The sequence below is a fragment of the Homo sapiens genome, chromosome 22, assembly GCF_000001405.40.
Source record: "Homo sapiens chromosome 22, GRCh38.p14 Primary Assembly".
NCBI classification, from domain to species: domain Eukaryota; kingdom Metazoa; phylum Chordata; class Mammalia; order Primates; family Hominidae; genus Homo; species Homo sapiens.
In genome coordinates this window covers 29,138,550-29,164,256 of record NC_000022.11, presented here as the reverse complement: position 1 = coordinate 29,164,256, position 25,707 = coordinate 29,138,550, and the positions used below count along the sequence as shown (strand labels likewise).

The window sequence follows — 25,707 nt, the reverse complement described above, 5'->3', positions numbered from 1 at the left end:
GTGTGTCCAGATTCCTCTTTGACTTCAAGAAGGCCCCCCACACCATAGTCAACAGCCGTTTCCATTTTGGACTAGTTAATTGATATCCTGCTTTTGTAAATCTCTTACATCTGGACTGTTCTTTTTAAAATGTAAGGTCCTCAGCTGGGCGCAGCAATGCGCGCCTGTAATCCCAGCTACTCGGGAGGCTGAGGTGGGAAGATCCCTTGAGCCCAGCGGTTTGTCCCTTGAGCCCAGCGGTTTGAGGCTGCAGTGCGCTATGATTCAATCTGTGAATGGGCCCTGCACTCCAGCCTGGGCAACATAGCAAGACCTCGTTTTTTTTTTCAACTTTTATTTTAGATGTAGGGCGTACATACGCAGGTTTGTTACGTGGGTGTATTGCGTGATGCTGAGGTTTGGGATATGAATGATCCCATCAGCCAGGTGGTGAGCATAGTTCCCAAGAGTTAGTTTTTTCAACCCTTGACCCCTTCTCTCCCTTCCCCCCTTAGTAGTCCCCAGTGTCTACTGTTGCCATCTTTATGTCCCTGAGTACCTGTATTAGTCTGTTCTCACACTGTTATAAAGAAATGCCTGAGGCCGGGCGTGGTGGCTCATGCCTGTAATCCCAGCACTTCGGGAGGCTGAGGTGGGTGGATCACTTGAGGTCAGGAGTTCCAGACCAACCTGGCCAACATGATGAAACCCTGTCTCTACTAAAAATACAAAAATTAGCTGGGCGTGGTGGTGGCCCCTGTAATCCCAGCTATTCGGGAGACTGAGGTAAGAGAATCGTTTGAACCCGGGAGGCGGATATTGCAGTGAGCCGAGTTCGCGCCACTGCACTCCAGCCTGGGCGATGAGAGTGAAACTCCATCTCAAAAAAACAAAACAAGAAAGAAATACCTGAAACTGGGTAATTTATAAAGGAAAGAGGCTTAATTGACTCACAGTTTCGCATTATTTGCTGGGGAGGCCTCAGGAAACTTACAAGCATGGCGGAAGGCAAAAGGAGAAGCAGACACCTCCTTCAAGAGATGGCAGGAGAGCGTGAGAGCTAGAGCAGGAAAAAATTCCACTTTTAAAACCATCAAATCTCGCGACATTCACTCACTATCACGAGAACGGCGGGGCGGTGGGGAATTGCCCCGGTAATCCTTCCCTCCCTCAACACGTGGGGATTACAGGTCCCTCCTTGGCAAGCAGGGATTACGATTCGAGATGAGATTTGTGTGAGGACACAGAGCCAAACCATATCAGTACCCAATGTTTATGGTTTTATGTACTTGTGAATGGCCTCCAGCTGGATCTGTATTGCTGCAAAGTACATGATTTAATTCTTTTTTATGATTATGTAGTATTCCACAATGTATATGTACTATGATTTCTTTATCTAATCCACCATTGATGGGCACCTACGTTGATTCCTTGTCTTTGCTATTGTGAATAGTGCCGCAATGCACACACAAGTGCCTATGTCATTTTGGTATAATACTTTGTTTCCTTTTGGATATATACCCAATAATGGAATTGCTTTTTTTTCTTTTTTTCTTTTTTTTTGTGTGACGGAGTTTTGCTCTTGTTGCCCAGGCTGGAATGCAGTGGCACAATCTCGGTTCACTGCAGCCTCCACCTCCAGGGTTCAAGCAATTCTCCTGCCTCCCGAGTAGCTGAGATTACAGGCATCTGCCACCACGCCCAGCTAATTTTCTGTATTTTTAGTGGAAACGGGGTTTCACCATGTTGGCCAGGCTGGTCTTGAACTCCTGACCTCAGTTCATCCACTTGCCTCAGCCTCCCAGAGTGCTGGGATTATAGGTGTGAGCCACTGTGCCCGGCCGGCATTGCTTTTCTTGTTCCAAGGGGGAATGCTTCAGTGTTTGCCTATTCAGTATGATGTTGGCTGTGGGTTTGTCATAGATGGCTCTTATTATTTTGAGGTACATTCCTTCGATGCCTAGTTTCTTGAGGGTTTTTATCACGAAAGGATGTTGGAGTTTATTGAAAGCATTTTCTGCATCTATTGGGATGATGGTTTTTGTTTGTAATTCTGTTTATGTGGTGAATCACATTTATTGATTCATGCATGTTGAACCAATCTTGCATCACAGGAATGAAACCTACTTGATCATAGTGAATTAATCTTTTTTTTTTTTTTGAGGTAGAGTCTCGCTCTGTTATTCAGGCTAGAGTGCAGTGACACAATCTCGGCTCACTGCAACCTCCACCTCCAGGTTCAAGTGATTCTCCTGCCTCAGCCTCCCGAGGAGCTGGGATTATAGACATGCACCACCATACCTGGCTAATTTTTTTGTATTTTTAGTAGAGATGGGGTTTCGCCATGTTGGTCAGGCTGGTCTCGAACTTATGGCCTCTAGTGATCTATCCACCTCAGCCTCCCAAAGTGCTGGGATTACAGCATGAGCCACCACCCGGCCAACTTTTTGATGTGCTGTTGAATTCAGTTTGCTAGTATTTTGTTGAGGATTGTTGTGTCTATGTTCATCAGGGATATTGGCCTGAAGCTTTCTTTTTTCACTGTGTCTTTGCCAGGTTTTGAGGTCAGGGTGATGCTGGCTTCATAGAATGAGTTAGAGAAGAGTTCCTCCTACCTGATTTTTTGGAATAGTTTCAGTAGAATTGGTAGCAGCTCTTCCTTGTACATCTGGTGGAATGTGGCTGTAAATATAACTGGTCCAAAGCATTTTTTGGCTGGTAAGTTTTTTAGTACCAATTCAATATCTTTTTTTTTTTTTTTTTTTTTTTTTGAGATGGAGTCTCACTCTGTCACCCAGGCTGGAGTGCAGTGGCGCAATCTCAGCTCACTGCAAGCTCTGCCTCCCGGGTTCACGCCATTCTCCTGCCTCAGCCTCCCAAGTAGTTGGGACTACAGGCGCCTGCCACCACGCCTGGCTAATTTTTTGTATTTTTAGTACAGACGGGGTTTCATCATGTTAGCCAGGATGGTCTCGATCTCCTGACCTCATGATCTGCCCACCTTGGCCCCCCAAAGTGCTGGGATCACAGGCATGAGCCACCACGCCTGGCCAGTGCTGATTCAATTTCTGAACATGATATTGATTTGTTCAGTCTTTCAGTTTCTTCCTGATTCACTCTTGGGAGATGGTGTGTTTCCAGGAATTTATCTATTGCCTCTAGATTTTCTAGTTTATGTGTGCAGAGGTGTTCATAATAGTCTCTGAGGATCTTTTGTATTGTGGGGTCCCTTATTACAAGTGACACATTTGTTATTTCTGATTTTGCTTATTTGATCTCTCTTTCTTTGTTAATCTAGCTAGCGGTTTACTGATCCTGTTTATCCTTTCAAATAATCAACTTTTGGTTTTGCTGATTCTTTGTATGAATTTTTGTGTCTCAATTTCATTAAGTTCTACTCTGATTTTAGTTATTTCTTTTCTTCTGCTATCTTCTGGGTTAGCTTGTTCTTGTTTTTCTAGTTCCTCTATGTGCGATATTAGATGGTTAATCTGAGGTCTAACTTCTTGAGGTAGGCATTGAGCACCATCAGCTTTCCTCTTAACACTGCTTTTGCTGCATCCCAGAGATTTTGGTATTTTGTATCTCTGTTTTCATTTCTTTCAAAGAATTTTTTTGATTTTGTGCCTTTATTTTGTTGTTTACCCCCAAAATCATTCAGGAGCAAGTCATTTAATTTTCATGTAATTGTATGGTTTTGAGAGATCTTCTTAATTTTTTTTTTTTTTTTTTTTTTTTGAGACGGAGTCTCGGTCTGTCACCCAGGCTGGAGTGCAGTGGCATGATCTCGGCTCACTGCAACCTCCATCTCCCAGGTTCAAGTGATTCTCCTGCCTCAGCCTCCCGAGTAGCTGGGATTACAGGCACCTGCCACCATGCTTAGCTAATTTTTTTTTTTTTTGTATTTTTAGTTGAGACAGGGTTTCACCATGTTGGGCAGGCTGGTCTCGAACTCCTGACCTCAAGTGATCCACCTGCCTTGGCCTCCCGAAGTGCTAGGATTACAGGAGTGAGCCACCACACCCAGCCGAAATCTTCTTAGTATTTTCCGTCTTCATTCTACTGTGGTCCAAGAGTATGGCTGGTATGATTTTGATTTTTTTGAATGTATTGAGACTTGCTCTATGGCTGAGCATGTGGTTGATCTTGGAATATGTTCCATGTGTGGATGAGAAGAATGTATATTCTGTGGCTGATGGGTGGAGTTTTCCATAGATGTCTAATAGGTCCAATTGGTCAAGTGCTGAGTTTAAGTCCAGAAATTCTTTGGTAGTTTTCTGCCTTGATGATCTGTCTAATGCTGTCAGTGGGGTGTTGAAGTCCTCCACTATTATGGGGCTAAGAGACCTTATCTTTAAAAAAAAGTCCAGGTCTCCTTAAGTGTTTCTACATATATATAAGTAGAGTCCCCTGAGGTTAGCCTCCCTCTTGCTTTAATCTGATGTCCCCATTTTCCTATATGGGCACGGACTTCATCCACCCATCTGCCATCCTCAACATCACGTCACGTGCAGAGTTCATCGTTCTCTGTTTGTGAAAAATCTCTCACCAGTAAGCACCTGTTTCTGACCAGTCTTGCTCCTTAGCAAGGAGAGTCTGAAACCTGTGCTTCCTGAATGTTTGTTTATTTATTTATTTTTGTTTTTGTTTTTTATTTTTTAGACAGAGTCTCGCTCTGTTGCCCAGGCTGGAGTGCAGTGACGTGATCTCGGCTCACTGCAACCTCCGTCTCCTGGGTTCATGCAATTCTCCTGCCTCAGCCTCCTGAGTAGCTGGGATTACAGGCGTGCGCCACCACACCTGGCTAATTTTTGTATTTTTAGTAGAGATAGGGTTTCACCATGTTGGTCAGGCTGGTCTCGAACTCCTGACCTCAAGATCCACCCGCCTCAACCTCCCAAAGAGCTGGGATTACAGGCATCAGCCACCGCTCCTGGCCTTTGGTTTTGTTTTGTTTTTGCTTCCTGAATGTTTACACCTGAGAACATTAAGGAGCAAAACACTCCTGGGCTGGCTGGGTGCAGTGGCTCATGCCTGAAATCCCAGCACTTTGGGAGGCCAAGGAGGAAGGATCACTTGAGCCCAGGAGTTCGAGACCAGCCTGGGCAACGAAGTGAGATCCTGTCTCTAAAAAAAAAAAAAAAAAAAAAAAACACTTGGCTGGGCACCGTGGCTCATGCCTGTAATCCCAGCACTTTAGGAGGCCAAGGCAGGTGGATCACTTGTGGTCAGGAGTTCGAGACCAGCTCTGGCCAACATGGAGAAACCCTGTCTCTACTAAAAATACAAAAATTAGCCCAGCTTGGTGGCAGCTGCATGTAATCCCAGCTACTTGGGAGGCTGAGGCAGGAGAATCGCTTGAACCCAGGAGGCGGAGGTTGCAGCGAGCTGAGCAGTGAGCCAGCCTGGGCAACAGACTGAGACTCCGTCTCAAAAAACAAAAACAAAACAAAAAATCAACACTCTTGAGCTGACCACTACTGCCGATCATCTTCCAGACCCATTTCCTGTGGTCTTGGTCTCCCACTAGGCTGGCAAATAACCATCAGCCACAGCCATGCCCTGGAGGTGGGGCCATCTGGAACCAAGACTGATCCCTTCTGGACTCAGGACTGACTTTGTAATTTGTGAGGCCCAGTGCAAAATAAAAATATGGGGCCCCTTCTTGGAAAATGATTAAGAATTTCAAGACAGTGACAGCTAGGGCCAAATGTGGGGCCTTTGTGAGGATGGGCTCTGTGTGACTGTGGAGGCTGCACATCCATGAAGCTGCCCTGCTGGTGGCAGAGACTTTTCCAGCCCTCCAGGCCCAGTTTCCCTAGAATTCCCCGTGCCCCATGTCGGCGCCTCTCCGCTGTTCTCCCTTTTCCTTCCCCAGTGCCCTCTTACATCCTCTTTTCTGCAAAGTGAGCCAGGAATCTTGGCTGGCGTGGCCTCCCCTTGATGTCTTCAGGGCTATTGGGTTTCCCTTGACATTCATCTGGGGGACTCTGTCTCTTGCTCCGGCATCATTTTGTCCCTCTACTGCCATGGCTGGCTGCACGTGAGGAACCTGGACCACATGGGGCTAGATTGCAAATTGGTACCCCGTGTTTTACCCGTGTTTCTCACACTGGGCCAGCCCACTTCTCCAGCCTCATGCTCTCATGTGCTGAGCAACAATCTCAAGGCATTCTGGGCCCTGACATGACTACGAGTTTTTGAATAGTGTGGCAGAGACAGGCTATATATTCGCTAATTTCATTGTACACAACTCCTGGCCCACTGGAAGACTACATTTCCCAGTGGCCTTTGCATCCAGGTGAGACCATGTGACCTGTAACAGACAATGAAATGTGAGGGAAAATGAAGTACAGGACTCCTAGGCCATGTCCCTCTGCCATGTTTGCTCCCCTGACCTGCCTGTTTGTGACACAGATGGTGGAATGACAAGATGGAAGCAATCCCTTCTTACTTTGTAGTCTCCCTTAGAGGCTACACAATGCCCTTCTCCCAGCCCAAGGGCTCAGGGGATGTATCTAGGGGGATTGGCTTTCTCCCCATTTTCCAAGGCGGGTCCTTGCCACCAGCCTCCGTGTTTTCAGGAAGCTCCGTGCAGCCATGGACATGACATTGGCCACAGAGGCAAAGTCATGGTGGGGGCTGGATGTGGTGGCTCACACCTGTAATCCCAGCACTTTGGGAGGCCGAGGCAGGTGGATCACTTGAGGCCAGGAGTTCGAGACCAGCCTGGCCAACATGGTGAAACACCATTTCTACTAAAAATACAAAAATTAGCTGGGCGTGGTGGCACATGCCTGTAATCCCAGCTATTCGGGAGGCTGAGGCAGGAGAATCACCTGAACCCAGGAGGTGGAGGTTGCAGTGAGCTGAGATCGTGCCATTGCACTCCAGCCTGGGCAACAAGAGCGAGACTCCATCTCAAACCACAACGAAAAACAAAGTCATGGTGGGGCCTTGGACACGAATTCTGCTCTCTGGGCCTCGGCTCCCCCACTGGAAAGAAGGCAATCCCCCAGCCTCTCATGATGGAATTCTGGTCCAGGGGACAGCTCTCAGCTGTCTCTGGCTACATCCAAGGGAAGACCTGACTGTAATCTTTGCGTGGAGCCCCCACAGGTCGGCTCCTCTGACTTGGCATAGTTTGTAGAAGCCTGAAGATGATAACCCTCTGGAAAGAGTTTTCCAATATGAATATGTGGGGATGGGCAGGTGTGGCTTCAAAGTTGTAAAAAGGGTTCAGTCCATCTTTACCCCCACTTACCAGCAGGATGACCTTGGTCTAGGAACACCTGTCTGAAGAAGAGATGTTATCCACCCAGGATTAAGTGATGGCAGCACAGGCTTTATTTCTCCAAGACTCAATTTCCTCATCTATAAAAACTGGAATAGAACTGTACCTACCTCATGGGGTTGCTGGGAGAGTCAAAGGAAATAAGGCACCGTATGTAGAGTTGAGCGGGGAGCCTGGTCCGAGGGTGTTTAGTGAATGCAATGTCAAGATGACCGAGTGCCTGCCCCTCAGCAGCCTTGCTCCTCCCAGCTCTGCGTGCAGGCCCTGGGGCTCCCCCGAGTGGTTTGATGAATGCTAGGGCTGCTCACAGCCCTTCATCTGGAATGGGATGCAGCAGTGTGGGGGCCTTCTTAGGGGTGGGTTCCTAGTACCTCATTTAGAGTTTTGAAGAGGCAGCCAGCGTCCTGTGCGGAGAGCATTCCTGTGCGGAGAGCATTCCAAGGCCTGGAAGGCCCACCAATCACCAAGTTCTAGCACAGGCCCAATCAATCACTCCCACAACCTGCTGCAGACTGGCTGGTGGAAGATCAGACGCCCTGGTTGCTGAGGGTTAATTACCAACTTGGCACCCATTGTCTCAGGGAGAAATTGCAAGAGTCTTTCTCTTTTTGTCTCTTTCCAAAGGCATAAACATCTGTACTGCAAGTGGCCCAGGGGGCCTGGAGATGTTTATTTTGTAGTTAACAAAGAGAAGGACATTTTGGCTTGGGAGCTGAGCATTCTGCTGGCCCAAAGCTTCTGGGAGACTCCCTGCACTGGGAGGTGTCTCCAGGAGTGGCTCAGGGTGGGGCAGGGCAGTGGCATGGGTGATGCTGGACAGCAGAATAGATGTCTAGTCCAGGGCATTGGCCAGGCCCCCTTCCTGGGGGCAAGCAGGGGAAGCAGTGTTCCTCAGTGCTCCTAGTGCGTGCTGGAAACACATGCACCAGCCTTTTAACAGTGCTTCCACTGAGCAGTGTGACAGTGAGAGAGACTTATGTTGTTCTTTTTGTTTTGTGTGCTTTCCAAATTTTTTTTTTTTTTTGAGATGGAGTTTCACTCTTGTTGCCCAGGCTGGAATGCAGTGGCACCGTCTCAGTTCACTGCAACCTCTGCTTCCTGGGTTCAAGTGATTCTCCTGCCTCAGCCTCCTGAGTAGCTGGGATTACAGGCACGCGCCACCACACCCAGCTAATTTTTGTATTTTTAGTAGAGACGGGGTTTCGCCATGTTGACCAGGCTGATCTCAAACCTCTGACCTCAGGTGATCCTCCTGCCTTGGCCTCTCAAAGTGCTGGAATTACAGGTGTGAGCCACCGGGCCCAGCCTCCAAATTTTAAAATAATCCACCTGCACTTTATTTTCAAACTTGCACATGTAATGCATGAATGTAAGAGATTCAAGCCACATATAAATATATCAAATAAAATGTGAAAATGTAAGTGTCCTCACCTTCTCTTTTCCTTTTTGGAGACAGGGTTTCACTCTGTTGCCCAGGCTGGAGTGCAATGGCGTGATCACGGCTCACTGCAGCCTAGACCTCCCAGGCTCAAGTGATTCTCCCACTTCAGCCTCCTGAGTAGCTAGGACTACAGGCACACACCACCATGCTTGGCTAATTTTTATATTTTTTGTAGACACCGGGTTTTGCCATGTTGCCCAGGCTGGTCTCGAACTCCTGGGCTCAAGAGATCCACTTACCTTGGCCTCCCAAAGTGCTGGGATTACAGGCGTAAGCAACTGCCCCTGGCCTCCTCCTGTCTTCTTCCTTTCCTTTTCCAAAGGTGACCACAATAAGAGTTAGGCACAGAACTTGCAGGACTTTGCTGGTGCCTTTGTATACACATACATATATTTCCCTCCCTCTTTTTAAAATTTGGCCAAAAAAAAAAAATTACACTTATGCTTTGTTCTTTGACTTTTTTCACGTAAGATATTCTGATACAGTGTGTGTAGAAGCACTACATTAATTTGTTCTTTTTTTTTCATTGCCTTTGGAGATTATACACCACATTAATTTCAATGGTGACATAGGATTTCATAGTATGGAGGTAGAATAATTCATCTGATCACTTATCTGATAGAATGAGTTCTTTAGAGGGCTTGGTGAGAGTGAGACCTGGGCTAATGTCCAGGTTTAGAGTCAGGACACCTGTGACATTATTTTTTTCTTTTTTCTTTTCTCTCGCAATTTTGCCCAGGCTGATTCTGAACTCCTGGGCTCAAGGCATCCTTCCTCTCAGCCTCCAGAGTAGCTGGGATTACAGGCACGCATCACCGCGCTGGGCAAAAAATCCGTGTAACTGTAATGGAAGGGCTTGAGAGCAGTTGCGGTTCAGGGCTGGCCTTCTTCCGCAGATCTGCAGTCTTACCACGGGGCGGCGCTGGTGAGCAAGCCTGCGCTGGGACGGCTCCTGCAGGAAAGGCGAGGGCGGCAGGAGGCGGCGGCTGGGGGCTCTGCCGCAGCGGGAGCTGGGCGGGCGGGCAGCTCCTTACCTCTGCCAGCTGGGCCAGGGGCCTTAGCCTATTTGTCCACCTGCAGCATTGGGGGAACTATGAGGACATTCAAATTCTGCATTTGTTCCCTTACCTGAAGCAACAGATAAGGAAATCCACTGCAGGCAGGGAGTCGGCAGAAAAGGGTATTTTCACCCAACAGCTAGGTCCCTAAGAAAGTAAAGGTCAATAGATACCTTTATTAAATGGGGTCACATATTGAAGGTCCTGGGGGAAACCAGCTACTTGAAGGAACCAAGTCAGGAATTATTCTCTAAGGAGGGAACTGCCCCTACTTTGTGCATTGTAAACTTGGAGTTTGATAAATAGGGTTCTCAATCTGAAAGGCAGGGCAAATCTGAGGTGCCCCCTGCTCCTGGTGGTCCCCTGAGTTTACTGATAAAAATTGTTAAAATGTATTGAGGACTCACAGGCCAGTCACTGAGCTAAATATTGTACCTTTCTTATTTCATTTAATCTTCACAACAACCCTATGAGAAACTACTGCTGTATCTCTTTTCTTTCTTTTTTTTTTTTTTGAGAGGAAGTCTTGCCGTTACCCAGGCTGGAGTGCAGTGACTAGATCTCGGCTCACTGCAACCTCCGCCTCCCAGGTTCAAGCGATTCTCCTGCCTCAGCCTCCCGGAGTAGCTAGGGAGTAGCACGCCAGGCTGATTTTTTTGTATCTTTAGTAGAGACGGGGTTTCAACATGTTGGCCAGGCTGGTCTCAAATTCCTGACCTCAGGTGATCCGCCCGCCTCGGCCTCCCAAAGTGCTGGGATTATAGGCATGAGCCACCATGCCCAGCCTGTACCTATTTTCTAGATGAATAAATGGAGGTTATAAAGGAGCCAGGCATGGTGGCTGGTGCCTGTAATCTCAGCACTTCGGGAGGCCAAGACGAGAGGATCACTTGAGCCCAGGAGTTCAAGACTAACCTGGGCAACATAGTGAGACGCTGTCTCTACAATAATTAAAAAAAAAAGAAAAAATCAGCTGGACGTAGCAGCCCACGCCTGTGGTCCCAGCTACTCAGGAAGCTGAGATGGAAGGATTGTTCAAACCCAGGAGAGTGAGGCTGCAATGAGCTATGATTGTGCTGTCAGAGGCAATGGAAACAGAGCGACTCCATCTTGAATAGGGGCTGAATAAAATGAGGCTGAGACCAGCTGGGCTGCATTCTAAGGAGGCTGGGCATTCTTAGTCACAGGATGAGATAGGAGGTCGGCAGGACTGGCTTCACAAGATACAGGTCACAAAGACCCCGCTGATAAAATGAGATGCAGTGAAGAAGCCGGACAAAACCCGCCAAAACCAACATGGCTGGTTGTCCTCACTGGTCATTATATGCTAATTATAATTCATTAGCATGTGAAAAGACACTCCCACCAGGGCCATGACAGTTTATGAATGCCATGGCAATATCTGGAAGTTACCCTATATGGTCTAAAAAGGGAAGGAACCCTCAGTTCCGGGAACTCCCCACCCCTTTCCCAGAAAACTCATGAATAATCCATCCCTTGTTTAGTATATCATCAAGAAATAACCGTAAGTCTACTCAGTCAAGCAGCCCATGCCGCTGCTCTCCCTATGGAGTAGCCCTCCTTTATTCCTTTACTTTCTTAATAGACTTGCTTTCACTTTACTGTCAGCTCACTCTTGAGTTCCTTCCTGCTTCAAGCCAGGAACCCATGGGGCACCCCCAGGCTGAATCCCAGTTTTGGAGTTTACCCTGTGACGGTGCCACTGCTCTCCAGCCTGGGCGACAGAGTGAGACCCTGTCTTTAGAGAGAGGAAAAAAAGGAAAGGTTGTGCTTGGCAGGCAGTGTGCCAGAGCCCCAAGAGTCAGCAGGAGGGGTTGGGGGGAGAGTGGAGGGGTGCAAGGGGCGGGGAGGAGCTGGAGAAAGTTGAGCAGATTCTGTCTCCCGCTAGGGCAGATCCCAGCCCAGTAAGTCAGCGCACAGAAGGGCAGGCCTCGCCCGTCTCACAGGACTGAGAAGAAAGGCGAGTTTCTAAGAGACTGGAGGACTCCCTACATGGGAAAGGGAAGTGATTTTAGCCTGTTTGGCTGGGAGTTCGGCTGATGGTTCCAACTCATGGGTATTAGCAGAGGGGAACAAGGAATTGCTGAGGGTGGCAAATTGGTTATAATTAAGAGAACCTGGGAGACGCAAAACAATGTGAAGGCCACCAGCTGTCCTGGATCTGGAGACTCTGTCCTTGGAGCCGCTTGTAGGGGGTTAGAGGGATGGCTCAGGAAACCAGCCGCCCTCCCCTGCAGTGCAGACCATTCAGCAAAGACTGCAGGAGGATGGAGCCTCTCTGCCTGATATTCCCAGGGCCCAGGGGACTGCCCTTGCTCCTGGGTCTTCCTTCCTGCTTCACTGTCACCTTTTCTTCCTCCACAATTTAAATGTACCCATCTTGTCTCTTAGGAAAGCAAACAGGCTTGGGAGTGGGCTCAAATCCTGACTCCTGTGCTTTTTTTTTTTTTTTTTAAGACAGAGTCTTGCTCTGTCTCCCAGGCTGGAGTGCAATGGCACAATCTCGGCTCACGGCAACCTCCACCTCCCCGGTTCAAGCAATTCTCCTGCCTCAGACTCCTGAGTAGCTGGGATTACAGGCATGTGCTACCACACCTGGCTAATTTTTATATTTTTAGTAGAGACAGGGTTTCACCATGTTGGCCAGGCTAGTCTCAAACTCCTGACCTCAAGTGATCCACCCACCTCAGCCTCCCAAAGTGCTGAGATTACAGGCATGAGACATCATGCCTGGCCGGTTTTTACACTTTTTAATTTTGGGGGGAAAAAATCAAAAGAATAGCATTTTGTAGCATTTCGTGACACATGAACATTATATAAACTTCAGGTTTTGGTGTCCGTGAAGTTTTATGGGAACACAAGCGTGACCATTTGTTTACATATTGTCTGTGGCTAATAACAAGGGGAGCTTGGTGGCCCCCATCCCCCGACTCCTCATGGAGTTGCGTAGATGGCTCCAGGGCTTGTTGGAGTCATCCAGGGTCCCAGTGGCTGGCCTGTGGTTCTGGTCAATGGATCTGAGACTGTATAGCCTGCAAAGTCTAAAATGTTTAGTATTTAGCCTTTTACAGAAAATGTTTGCCGACCCCTGGCATAAATGCCTGACAACAGGTGATCAGTAAAATGTATCCTGTTATTCGTATTATTATGACTGTTACTATTATCCCTTCTGGCCTCATTTTAACTTTCAAATAATCATGCTCATGGCTTAATGGAGAGATTCTAAACCTGAGGTCCATGGAAGGGTTTCAGGGGGCAGGGGGTCTCTGGACCCCTGCAGTTTGGCAGATGGGGTCTTTTTTGCAGGGAGAGGCTCCATCCAACCCCTGGTTCTCAAAGGGGTTTGTGTCATCAAATAGGTAAAGAAGTGTAGGTTTGATTCTTCCTTGACCCAGGAAAATCGATCCACACTTTCCCTGGGCTTTCCGGAGGCCATATCCTTGAAGATGAGCTATTTGGGGGCCCACCCACTGCCTGTGTTGGAGGGGCCTGCAGCTCAACAGGAGTAAGGACCCCCAGCTTTGGAGCCAGTGGTCCCAGGCTGAGTCCGAACCTTGGCGGCCCCTGGCTGGACCCCTTCTCTGACCCTCAGTTCCCTTGTTGGGTTGCGGCAAAGATGAATTCGGTAATGTCTGTTGGTCACTTGGCACAGCGTCTGGTACACAGTACGTACTGCAGAGATGGTAGTGGTTATTAATCTTATTGTCCTTGCACATTCAAAAGTGCTTTCCTCAGCTCACTCAGACCCAGGAAAAGCTGCGCCTGTGTTTGGCTGAATTTGAGGTCTGAATACCCCTTGAGGGCCCTTAATCTCTATCTTAGGTACCAGCAACTAAGGCAAGTCCACTAAACATTCACATGATCAATATGCAAAGAAGCACGACCCTCAGTGAAGTTTTTAAAAGTTCAGTGACCTCATTTGAACAGAGACAATGCTACTAAGACGGAAATAAATGGGATCTGCAGCTTCACTGTTGCGAAAGCCCTGGCTGTTTCCGAGTGTTTGGTGTTTCTCCCGGAGGGGTTACTCTGGAGCTCAAGCTTGGGTCTACTTTCCCCCTAAAACGCTTCTTGTGGAGCCCCTTTTCCCCGCTCAGTCACCCAGAGCTAACGGGTTTATTCCAAAGCCCAGCAACCACCACCGGGAGGGGACAGGGTGTCCTTGCAGCCAAGCTGTCCTGGAGATGGGCGTCCTGCACAGACTGGTTCATGTTCAGTCCGGCAGGCACTGCCCCCCCCCCCACCAGTTGCTGGGCATAGGCCCATTCAGGGGAGGCCTGGTGGCTCCAGACAACAGCTGGAGACCAGAAATGAAGACTTCCAGCTACAAGCAAATGTTGCTGCTTCTTAAGGTTGAAGTATTCTATCTCTAAAGTGTCCCTTTGAGCTGAGCGAAAACAATCCCCCATCGGGACCCGACCTCGCCACAGAGGAACAAAAGCTTCCCAGTTCTCTGAGTTCTAGAGACTGTCTGCAGTTTCAGGCACGCATGGCCCAGAGGGGAAAGAAGATGGTCATGTGACTTCCAAGCCTGGAGACAAGGTCACCCTTGTCCAGCCCCGTTCCCCTTCACAGGAAGAAGAGCCTTTGACTGCCTGACAAAGGATGGGGCTGGTGCTGCCCTGGTGCTGGCTCCCGGGTGGTGGATTCTCCAATATCTGCATCTGTCAGGTTCAGGAGAACACAGGGCAAGGTCAGTGGTCCCCAGAGTCCACTCAGATGGGTTTGAGGGTCTCATCCTGGCCTCATTGTCCCATAATCCCAAAGGGGTTCTTCAGGTGGGACAGTTGCACATTCTGGCTGCATTTATTTTATTTTTCTATTGCAGCGTAATTTGTCCCTAAGAAATTCACCAGCAAGGCCGCCCTGTTTGTTTTCCACCAGCCATTTCCTGCCATTAAAAATATTTTCCTTCATGGAAGGAAAGAGCCTCTAGGAGAGAGAAGGAAAGCCCAGTGAAGATAAACAGTCAAGTGAAGCTGACCTTTAAAGGGGCCATCATGGGTCGGACGCGGTGGCTCACGCCTGTAATACCAGCACTTTGGGAGGGCAAGGTGGGCGGATCATCAGGTCAAGAGATCGAGACCATCCTGGCCAACATGGTGAAACCCCGTCTCTACTAAAAACACAAAAATTAGCTGGGCATGGTGGCACGTGCCTGTAGTCCCAGCTACTCGGGAGGCTGAGGCAGGAGAATCGCTTGAACCCAGGAGGCGGAGGTTGCAGTGAGCTGAAATAGCGCCACTGCACTCCAGCCTGGAGACAGAGCGAGACTCCGTCTCAAAAAAAAAAAAGGTGCCATTATGTTGCAACATCTGCGGCAGCATGGGGGCTGGCTGCAGGGTGGAGGCAGAAGTTAGCCAGGGAGGGGACAGTGGTGAAGTGAAGGGCACGGACTCCATGTCGAGGCAATGCTTCCAGGGATTCTGATGTGGTAGGTCTGGGGTGGGGCCCGGGAACCTGAAGTTTAACAGAGCACATAGGGATTCCCAGGCAAGTGGTCAAATGCATCCCACCGAGAGCCACGTCTGCGGTGGTAATATTCTTTAGCTGGACTGGCCTGTGCCCTCTTTTCTCAGAGAACACTATCCTAGCAAAAACTGGCTGGATGAGGGAGATTTCACCTGGCCAAGCTGTCTCCTGAGAATCTGGAACTGGGACTCAAAGCACGAGCAGTCTGTGTGTGCCAGTCAGGTTAGAAGCTTTGCTCACCAGGCGCGGTGGCTCACACCTGTAATCCCAGCACTTTGGGAGGCCGAGGCGGGCGGATCACCTGAGGTTAGGAGTTTGAGACCAGCCTGGCCAACATGGTGAAACCCCATCTCTACTAAAAATACAAAAATTAGCTGGGCGTGGTGGCGGGCGCCTGTAATTCCAGCTACTCCGGGAGGCTGAGGCAGGAGAATCGCTTGAACCCGGGAGGCGGAGGTTGCAGTGAGCAGAGATTGCACCACCATACTCCATCCTGGGTGATGAGCAAAACTCCGTCTCCAAAAAAAAAAAACAAAAAAAACAATTTTGCCAATAGGTTCTTTGGCTTCCAGGGGAGTCCTTGTCTCCTGTCCTACTCCTGCCCACCTTGGTCCTGCCAGGCACTCCCTCACTGCCTCAGTGCATCCCAGGACGCTGTCCCCCATAGCCTTCTGAGGGGTGGCCCCAACACTCACCCTGAGGATGCCACCTTTGCCCATGTTTCCTTGGGTTGTGCAGAGCCCTGTGCTCCTTGTGGGGGGCTCAGGCTGTCTGTCCAATGCCTGCCGGACAGCTCTGCCTCAGTGTCCCACAGCGACTGCAGTGGACTTAGCCCAAAAGAACTCATCAGGTTTCCTCTCACACCTGGCTCCTTTTACATTCCTTATGTCGAAGAGTGGCCCCTCTCTCCGCTCAGGCACCCATGTCAGGTACCGGAGCACCATCCCAGACACCTCCTCATTCTTAACCCCCACCTCTATTCTAGAATGAAAGGAACATCTACCTTTGATGGAAAACATACTGCAGGTAATAATAATTCATACAGCCCAATGCCTCACAAAGGCAGGTACTATAACTGTCTCCATTTGACAGGTGAGAAAACAGGCACACAGGGCCGTGTTACTCACCCCAGGTCACATGGTGAACAGTGGAACTGGGATGTGAGCCTGAGCTACCCAGCCCCATGCACGTGCCCCTGCCCTGGGAGTGCAGTCAGCATCTCTCTCCACAGCACTGGCTTGGGGGCCCAGGCATGCCCTCAGCATCTCCTGGCTGGGCCTGTAGAGTCTCCCGACTGGTTTCCTTGCCCTCGGTCTTACCCCGCTCAGATCTGTTTTCCCAGATGCAAGGAGGAATGCTTTCTAAACTGGGAATCTGATGTCACTCCTCCGCTGAAACCCTTCAAAGGCTCCCTGTTTTACCCTCACTGGCCTCACAGAGAATGAATGGAGGAAACTGAATCCTGGAGGGCTGACTCCAGGGCTGTGCTCCCAGCTACTGTCCCCCACAGCCTCTCCATGCCTGAGCTGTCTCATCTGCCAAAGAGGGAAAGTGGTACCCATGGCGAAGAGTTGTAGGATATGCACAGTGTCTGCCAGCAGAGTGCCTGGCGCAGAGTGGGCAGCTCATACGTGGAGCTTCTATTAGCTTCTTTCCTTCCTAAGAAGGAAAGTGTGGGGCAAGAAGGGGGTGGAGAGGAAGAACTGGTTGCTCTGAGAGGCAAGGTCAGTTCCACCTGGGATAATAATTACATAAGCACTTTAGAGGCATTTTGTCAAAACATAGCCTCCATAGCCTCCTGAGGAATAGATTCCATTACCCTTTTCAGATGGGGAAGCTGAGGCTGAGTAGTCGAGGGACTGGATCTAGGCCGGCTCGAGCCCAGATCTCTCTGCTGCAGAGCCTTGTGCTCTGCCCTGACCCTCCTTGGATGTGGGCTGCAATGCAATGGTTTTGGAGTACCTAATCTTTCAGATCGTACCAGCTGAAGGTCGGCTGTGGGTCGAAGCTGTCACAAGACTGGAAGAAATTTGGAGGCACTACTAGGAAACAGCAAGCAAAAGGCGAGGACTGGCACCCAAGGGGAGGCAGGAATCCCACCACAGACACCCTCCGCTTGTCCCACGCTCTCTGGGGAACTCCCATAGAAATGACAGCATAGGGCCCATCACTCTTTCTACAACAATGAGAATATTTATTTTTTCCAGAAAGTAAAAATAACATTTTTTCTCGTTTGTAAAAGTACCATTACATTCCATTTTCTTAAATAACAAAACCCTAAAAATATATATTAAATTGTATACAGTGCGTCACACTTCATCTTATATTTTAAAATACATGATGTTTCTATTTTATTCTCAAAGTTGCATATTAAGAGCATATTTACAAATAAAGCCTTGTCATCCAAAGTCAAAATCCCTGCTGGAAGCTGAGTTTGGATGTGGGAAGGTCTTGACGTGCATGAGACCCACGATGGCAGCTCCCGTGCGGGCGGGGAAGGGCCTCCAGTCTTTGTGTCTAAAGACCCTTCCTTTCTGAAGCAGATTTCCCTCTGACTTTCCTCCACACCCCACTTCTGCCTCCGTACCCAACTCAGCAAGACGGAAGCCTGTGAGATGTGCCCACCAGGGGTCTGCAGGCAGAGGGTGAAGCCCTGTCACCCCGGAGCCGTCCAGCCTGAGGGGAGACAGCTGTGGCTGGAAGGCTTGAAAAACACCCCACACCAGGGAAGCTAAGCTGAGACCTGGCCAGGAGGTAGAACAGTGAGGAAGGTAAACAAAGACACCAGAGGAAACAATCCAAACTCCCAAGGTAGGAACAAAAGCCGACATCAAACACCACACGGGAGATCTGAAACCTAACGGTGCCAGGTGGTGGGGTGTGGAGCTGCCCGGCTCCGTGGGAGACCTGGCCTGACCTCAGCAGACCAGGGAGGCAGGGTCTCGGAGGCCATCCGCGTATAAGTGCTTGTGAAGAGTAAGCGTGCAGTGCCAGGATGCATCGGGGCTGGGTGATGGCCTGGCTGGGCTGCAGGCAGATCCTGAGCCCGGCCAGGAAGGCTCCTGCCTGGGCTGACAGTGGGGCATGTGGGTGGAGCCGCACCCAGGCACGCCCGTGGGTTCTACCCGAGGGCCAGGACAGCTGAACTTGCTAGTGCTTTGATCTCTGTGGGCTTCTGGCCGATTGGAGTCTTGAGCCAGAGCCCACTCTTCAGAAGTTAGAGCAGCCTGGTTTCCTCGCTCACGCCCAGAGAGGCCTCAAGCCTGTCCTGACGTGGGGGACAGGGCGGGTGAAGTCACTCGGGTTCACTCCTACTCATTCTCTGCTTTGCAAGCAACTGGACAAACGGGGAAGAACAGGGCACCGTGTGCCTCCCGCCTGCCTTCTCAGAAGGGCCAAGGACACTGAGAAACGCTGCTAGAAACTAGGGGCCACAGCTGGCCAAGACACTGTCACCACGGAGAGTGACAAGATCGGCTGGTGAGGGCTCTCCTGTTGGCACAGGTACCAAGAAGGCAGGGCCTGGCGCCAGCGGGGAACAGGGGTGAGGATGGCACGCAGGCCCAGTGCAGCCTCCTCCCACGCTCTGTCACCTCAGGAGGGGCTTTGGCCAGGGTGCTTTCAGAGCTCTGTCCACAGTGGTCCCCGAAGCCCCTCCCCTGCCTCTCCTGCAGTCTTCTGCCATGGGTTCTGACTGACTTTCCCAGGGTTACCCTCTTTTCGCCACCTCCAACCCCCACTTTATCTCATCTAAGGAGTTTCCTAAAAGTTCAAGTGCCACCTCCTCCATGCTCCTGGAAGCCCACGTCATCTCTTCTGGAGCAGTTTCTTTCTCAGGTGTTTACCTAGCCGCAGTGGCCTTCTGTGGGGTGTCGCTGACTTTCTACCTGGTTCTAACTGAGTCCATAGCCAGGCTGCGGCAGGAGCCAGTGCCCACGGAGGCTTAGCCTGGGATGATTTACAGCCCTCCTGCCCGTACGCTGTCCTGAGCCAGATTTGGGTTTCCCGGGGCTGCTCCACGGATCGTAAGTTGATCCTAGAGGCGCTGGGCCATGCCAGGGCGAGGCAGGAAGAGAAGCGCTGGGGCATCCCCAGCACCTCCCAGGCCCTCCGAGGAAGTGCTGCCCCCGCTGCAGGCTGTGACAGCACATTGGCTTGGGCATGGCCTCCCCTGACTGAGATGTGAGGAGGGCAAGGTGGGCATTTGGGCTGCAGGACACCCCAGAGGCCAGTGGTCAGTGTCAGCCCCAGGCAACTGAACAACTGCCCCCTGGCCGGGTGAACTCTTCCTGGGGCCACGTGCCACATTCCCTTTGTGCTGCACATGGATCTATTCACAGCACAGGACCCGTTGGGACGACACACACCTGACACTTATGTTTGAGAGAGATTCCACAAACAGCATGAATAGCTTGGAGGGGAGACTGCACGTGTTGGTATGTTTCCAGCGGTCCTCCTGTGTGACAGGCCTCTTGGAGACAGAGGCCTGCGGACAGCTGCTCTTTCCAGATCAAAGCATGAAGGCTGCACCGAGCAGCTCTGTGCCCTCAGCAGGCCTCCCACGGGGCCTGGGGTGGCAGTCCTGCCCCTGCCTGCCTGTGACACATTGCTCCGTTTCCCTCCTCTGAAGGCCCCTCTGCCTGAAGCTCCAAGCACCTCTCCTGAACTCAGGCTGCCGAGTGCCACCTCTCCCTGCAGACACTTCCTGTGTGGCCCTCTTTCCTCCCAGGGGCGGCAGGTGCAGAGGTGTTTCCAGAACCTCAGTAGGAGCCCCAGCAGGCAGTGGCTCAGGGCTTGGGGGAGGTAGGCAAAGTGCTGCAAAGAGGAAACGCCAAAGCCAGAGGCGCAACAATCACCCAGGCCCAAGTGCCTTGTGGAGAGGCACGCTCTGACGAGGGCCTAGGCCTGGCCAGCAGAGGCACAGGCTGCTTTTCTCAGCTGCTGTTGACAAAGCCTGATTCCAGATGGCAAGGACTTTTAAATTAGTGATGGCACTTACTCTCCCAACCAGCAGCCACTACAGCTGCAGCACTCAATCTTAGGAGGAGCTCCTTGGAGGAGCTCCAATTCCCAAACCCACCCTCTTCTGGCACCAATCTCTGCAGCCCACCTCCCTATCTAAGGGACAGGGTGGCAAGGGACTGGGGACAAGAGTGCTCTCCTTCCCCACTGAGCCATTCCTAACCCCACTTGGTCCCCACAGGAGGGGCAGAGAGCACGGATGGCCCTTGGAGTGTTTTTTTTTTTTTTGAGACAGAGTCTTGCACTGTCACCCAGGCTGGAGTGCAGTGGCGTGATCTCTGCTCACTGCAAGCTCCGCCTCCCGGGTTCACGCCATTCTCCTGCCTCAGCCTCCCGAGCAGCTGGGACTACAGGCGCCCACCACCACACCCAGCTAATTTTTTGTATTTTTAGTAGAGACGGGGTTTCACCATCTTAGCCAGGATGGTTTCGATCACCTGACCTCGTGATCCACCCGCCTCAGCCTCCCAAAGTGCTGGGATTACAGGCATGAGCCACCGCGCCCGGCCCTTGGGGTGTTTTTTATCTTTTAACACGGGGGACACCAGAAGGAAGGACCACAGGCCCCATGTCTCATATAGTGCTGCCTAAGGGCAAAAACACAAGATTGATACTCTCCACTCTGAACTGAGAGTTAGCTGAGCCAATCATGGAGAGACTGAGGCCTGGCTCAGGTTCCATAGGACCATGAGCTGCTCAGTGGCAAGGCTGATAAAGCCAATCCTGAGTACTTACTGAGTGCCCATAAAAGCTTGCAGGAGAATTTATTGCATGAGTAAATGAATGGATTTTTTTTGTTTATTTGTGTTTTGTTTTTTTGAGACAGAGTCTCACTCTTGTCACCCAGGCTGGAGTGCAGTGGTGCGATCTCGGCTCACTGCAATCTCAGCCTCCTGGGTTCAAGCTGTTCTTCTGTCTCAGCCTTCTGAGTAGCTGGGATTACAGGCGCCTGCCACCACGCCTGACTAATTTTTATATTTTTAGTAGAGACGGGGTTTCACCATGTTGGCCAGGCTGGTCTCGAACTCCTGACCTCAGGTGATCTGCCCGCCTCAGCCTCCCACAGTGCTGGGATTACAGGCATGAGCCATCGCGCCCAGCTGAATGGATGTTTTATATGACCAAAGCTCTTAAAGCTTTCCCTGCAGCTCCATGAGCTATGGAAAGAAGAATCTAGAAAGAAGCCCATGTGTAAGGTATCAGGTTTGATATAAATGGGGGTCACTAGATCTTATTCTCAGACCCTCCCAGGCTGAAGGAGGCCCACCCTAGTCCAGCATCTGGAGAGCAAAGCTGCCGGGGCAGCACAGACACTGCCCTCTTTACACCTCGCTAATGTCCAGGAGTCCGCACTTGTATGGGACCAACTCCCAAGAGTACCTGAGAGTTCTCCCTGTCTGGCCCTGTTCCAAGACATAAAGATCAGGAGAAACTGATTTGTGTGTGGACAAAAATAGAGAAGCAAGAAAAATTCAATGTAACTAAAGCTACCCACCACCTGACAGCCATCTAGAATGTACCTGAGCCCTGTGCCAGCCATGACCACCTCTGTCATCTCAGCCTCACTGTCCTGACACCCCCACTGCTAGCTAGATCAGAGAGAGATGCAGAGAGGGCCGGGCCCCAGGGCTTTGAGTCTCTCTCCTAAGTGCAATCGATGAAGCAGGAGGAATCCAGGCTCTGCCTGCCCTGGCAGCAGGGTGCCTCTTCCTAGTCTGTAGGAGGAGGGTTTCCCCGAAGAGGCCGAGGCAGAGGGAGAGGAGGGGAAGAGTCTGTCAGAGAAGAACCACAGGAGAGGTTGACCACGGCAGCCTTGAGCTCAAAGAGGGACCTCAAGTCCTAGGCACAGTGGGGTTTTTAGTCACTCACAAGGGGATTGCGGTCATCTTGTTGACTCTGACCCTTGAGTTTCTTCTTAAAGATGGAAATTGAAGTGGAAGGCTTGTAAAAAATGCTCCAGATTTCCCCCGAAGTCCCTGGTTGATGACAATCCCTAAGGTCCCCTGAAGCAGGAACACGATGGGATCTGTCAAGCAGATAAATATTTTTTCCAATAGATTAGAACAACGCAAACAACCTACCATCTCACGAGATACTGTATCTATGAAATGGGGTGGGGCAAGGTCTTGGGAAGGACCTCACAGCCACCTCTAAAGATCTGAAGGACTAGCGTGCAACTGAAATGTGGCCTGTGGGCAGCAGGGGCTGAGGCCAAGTGCAGCAGGGCAGCGTCTGCATCAGAATAACAAAGAACTTTCTAACTAGCAGAATTCTTCAAATCTGGAAAAGCCCAGCCTGAGAGATTATGGATTTTCAAATTCTTTTATTTTAAATAAAAGAACTGTCTTCAAATGCCATTTACCTGGAAGCCCACCTAGCTAAAACAAGATAAACACAAAACTTCTCTGCTTCAAGCAGAGACCCGTCTAGCCTCCGGTGCTGGCCCGGACTCTGTTCAGCCCCCACGGCTGCCTGGCAGGGAAGCTGCAGCCGATGTCAGAGGAGAGTTAGGCATGCACTTTAGGGCCTCAGCCATGCTATCAGATGCTGGACGCTATAGGAAGCATTGGGCTCTCTTGCTGCCACAGGGGATGTGGTCAGGACTGAGCCTGAGAGGCTTCCCCAGAGCATGTGAATTGTGACTTTAAAACACACATACACACACACACAGACACACACACACAGACACAGACACACACACACACACATGCACATGCAGACACACACACACACACACACACACGAGGACATTATTTCCACTAAAAATTTCAAGTGTAGGGTGGAGGTGTCTATGTAAAGGGGTTCCAATGTGGCCAAAGGCAGCATTCACAACGCAATGGAAGAGCTCGCATTTAATGTATAAGAAGTCTGTAGCAGAGGGCAAGTGAGACGGTCAGGAAAAAGACAGCTTTTAGTGGACATACATACATTTTCAGGGAGGCTGTGAAATGAGAAGAACCTGGAGTAGAAAGCACCGGAAAGACAGAGTAGGGGTCTAGGAAAAATTAGAACGAGCTCCCCTCTAAGTACACAAACATTAGTAGCATGAACAATTGCCCCTTTCCTGGAAGGTGGAACTGTTAGACTTGAATAGCAAAATAAGGGAAGGAAATATATTTTAACCCAAATTGGTCAGAATTGAATGATAAAGCTTCCATAAGTTTTTTCAATAACTGTTTTAAAATAACTACTGAGCAATAGTTAATAAAATGTGAGAATTCTCTTCCTAAGGATGTTTCTCAATTTCTAGAAGGCATCAGGAAGTATGCACGGCATCGTCCTAGCTATCTTCAGTCTTGCATAAAGATCTCCGTAAGGGACTAGCACATTTGCTTTTTAAGCCAGGAATGTTGCAATCCTCCTTGAAATTGTATGCCTTGGACACAGAGCAAACAAAATCCCTGAAACCTTAATGAGATTTGTCCAGTTGTACATTTCACTCTACAAAGAAGGGGGAATGTCTGCTGCCTTCCGTTCCCTAGGACTGAGGGCTTTGGAATCATGTGCTTATTCTACAGTTGTAACCAGACAAATGAAGCATCATAGAAAATGAACTCTGAGCCTTCCCTTTCCTGGAATTGGGCAGCTCCCTCTTGTACTCACTTGAATGTGACGTGCAGAAGTATCTTTGCTACAATGGCTGTGACTGTGAGGATGAGGAGAGTTGCCAGACCATAGACTGTCCATCCTGCAAGTGCAAAAGACAGAGCTTACCAGACTTGTTTATGGTTGGTTTTCGAAAGGAGGTCGGCTGGAATACCCAAGTGAGTAAGTCTGGCTGAGGGGCTCCCTGCAGGCCGGTGTGGGAGGGCAGCTAGCAAACCTAGCCTCAGGAGCAGCTGACCCAGGCTAAGCATGGGGCCCCAGGTGTTCTGAATATTTCCCTTTGTTCTACAAGTCACTCTCAGGGAGAGGCAGACAGGATGATCCAAAGTCTATTGGACTCAGAATCTAAAGGGATGACATGCATTTTGTCTCTGCCACTGGGACCACTGTGTAACCACAGATGGAGTTATGTAAACTCTTTGGGCCTCAGTTTCCTCATCCGAGGAATGAGATATGTGACCTATGAGATGCTACCTATGAGAACCACAGCCTAATGACGCACAGGAAGTGCTGGACAGGCCCTTCTCCCTGACCTTCTATGGTGGGTCCTGCAGGGGCCCAGGGCAATTTGAAAGCCTCCAGGCTAGGTCACCACTGAGGATACTTTCCAGTTCTACCAGCTCATAAAGGCATCACTTCCTTGGCTCACTGCATCCTCAAGCTCCTGGGCTCAAGCAATCCTCCTGCCTCAGCCTCCCGAGTAGCTGAGACTATAGGCATGTGCCACTACGCCCAGCTAATTTTTCTACTCTTTTCTTTTTGAGACAAGGTCTCATTCTGTCACCCAGGTTGGAGTGTAATGGTGCAATCATAGCTCACTGCATTCTTGAACTCCTGGGCTCAAGCGATCCTCCCACCTCAACCTCCTAAGTAGCTGGGACCACAAGCGTGCACCACCACACCCAGATAATTTTTTTTATTTTTTGTAGAGAAAGGGTCTCCCTATGTTGCTCAGGCTAGTCTCGAACTCCTGGCCTCAAGCAATCTTCCTGCCTCGGCCTCCCAAAGTGCTGGGGTTACAGGCATGAGCCACTGCACCTGGCCCTGCATGACTTTTCTTCATAGCTCTTATCATTATCTGATTTTTATTTTGCTTTCTATCTTTCTCCTCTCATTTATACGCCACAGAAGGGCAGGGGTTGTGTTTGGTTCACTCTATAATCCAGTACCTAGAACAGTGCCTGGCACCACTGAAGCACTTATATATCTTTTGAATGAATGAGTCAGTGAGTGAATGAATGGAGTTCTTGCAAATGCCAGTGGATTTAGGGAGTTTCCATGTGGGGCTCTAGAAAGATAATCTCAATGTGGGAAAATACGGGATTAGCTGATTAGTCACAATGTACAAAAGGCACGCTTGCCTAATTTTTGGAGGTGAGCACTTTTCCCTCAGGACTAAGGAACCAAGCTAATAAGAAAATTTCCCTCAAAAGCCAGGACAGACTATAGGTCACAGAGCCAGTATCCCAACCTGCCTCTGAATAAGAAACACCCAAGTGCTTTTGTCTTTATAACTGTCAAGAGCGCTACCTTCAACTCTGTGGCTTCCAGCCCCCATGGGTGGCGCCCAGGAATTGCTACCTGGGACAGTCTGAGGTGGGTGGCTGGGGCTGGTGGTGATGACATAGAGGACTTTGGAGGACCGGGCAGCGCTGACACTGAGGTTGGCCTGCTCCGTGATCACCTCGGCCACCGTCTGGTTGACAGCGGGCCTCTCCTGTGGCAGTTCTTCCTTGACGGCTGGAAGAGAAAAAGCAATTAACTGGGGACAGGGCTATGGAGACAACAAAGAGTTGTGCGGGAGGAGAGCACGA

At 50.0% G+C, this 25,707-nt stretch overlaps 1 protein-coding gene across 6 annotated transcripts in view, besides 4 other annotated features; it reads right to left on the bottom strand.

The window, feature by feature from the left end:
- KREMEN1 (kringle containing transmembrane protein 1) overlaps nucleotides 1-25,707 on the bottom strand; it is a 95,299-nt gene that overhangs the window by 4,077 nt on the left and 65,515 nt on the right. For 3 of the 6 annotated variants that reach the window (XM_011530429.3, XM_011530430.3, XM_011530431.3), the window contains 3 exons: nucleotides 25,424-25,633; nucleotides 23,891-23,975; nucleotides 17,437-22,313 (listed from right to left, as the gene is read on the bottom strand). In XM_011530429.3, coding sequence (XP_011528731.1) covers nucleotides 22,145-22,313; nucleotides 23,891-23,975; nucleotides 25,424-25,633 — 464 coding nt within the window. In that variant the 3' untranslated portion in view covers nucleotides 17,437-22,144. Of the gene's footprint in view, nucleotides 1-17,436; nucleotides 22,314-23,890; nucleotides 23,976-25,423; nucleotides 25,634-25,707 lie in introns of those variants that run through there. The other 3 variants (NM_001039570.3, XM_017028989.2, NM_032045.5) reach the window with 2 other exon arrangements.
- Nucleotides 11,613-12,396: an enhancer, noted in NCBI's record as "NANOG-H3K27ac-H3K4me1 hESC enhancer chr22:29547849-29548632 (GRCh37/hg19 assembly coordinates)". NCBI's record gives its function as "activates a minimal SCP1, AML or CMV promoter by ChIP-STARR-seq in primed H9 embryonic stem cells {active_cell/tissue: H9 hESC(primed)}" and the evidence as "EXISTENCE:reporter gene assay evidence [ECO:0000049][PMID:30033119]".
- Nucleotides 17,772-18,472: an enhancer, noted in NCBI's record as "H3K4me1 hESC enhancer chr22:29541773-29542473 (GRCh37/hg19 assembly coordinates)". NCBI's record gives its function as "activates a minimal SCP1, AML or CMV promoter by ChIP-STARR-seq in primed H9 embryonic stem cells {active_cell/tissue: H9 hESC(primed)}" and the evidence as "EXISTENCE:reporter gene assay evidence [ECO:0000049][PMID:30033119]".
- Nucleotides 22,259-22,758: an enhancer, noted in NCBI's record as "H3K4me1 hESC enhancer chr22:29537487-29537986 (GRCh37/hg19 assembly coordinates)". NCBI's record gives its function as "activates a minimal SCP1, AML or CMV promoter by ChIP-STARR-seq in naive H9 embryonic stem cells {active_cell/tissue: H9 hESC(naive)}" and the evidence as "EXISTENCE:reporter gene assay evidence [ECO:0000049][PMID:30033119]".
- Nucleotides 22,759-23,260: an enhancer, noted in NCBI's record as "H3K4me1 hESC enhancer chr22:29536985-29537486 (GRCh37/hg19 assembly coordinates)". NCBI's record gives its function as "activates a minimal SCP1, AML or CMV promoter by ChIP-STARR-seq in naive H9 embryonic stem cells {active_cell/tissue: H9 hESC(naive)}" and the evidence as "EXISTENCE:reporter gene assay evidence [ECO:0000049][PMID:30033119]".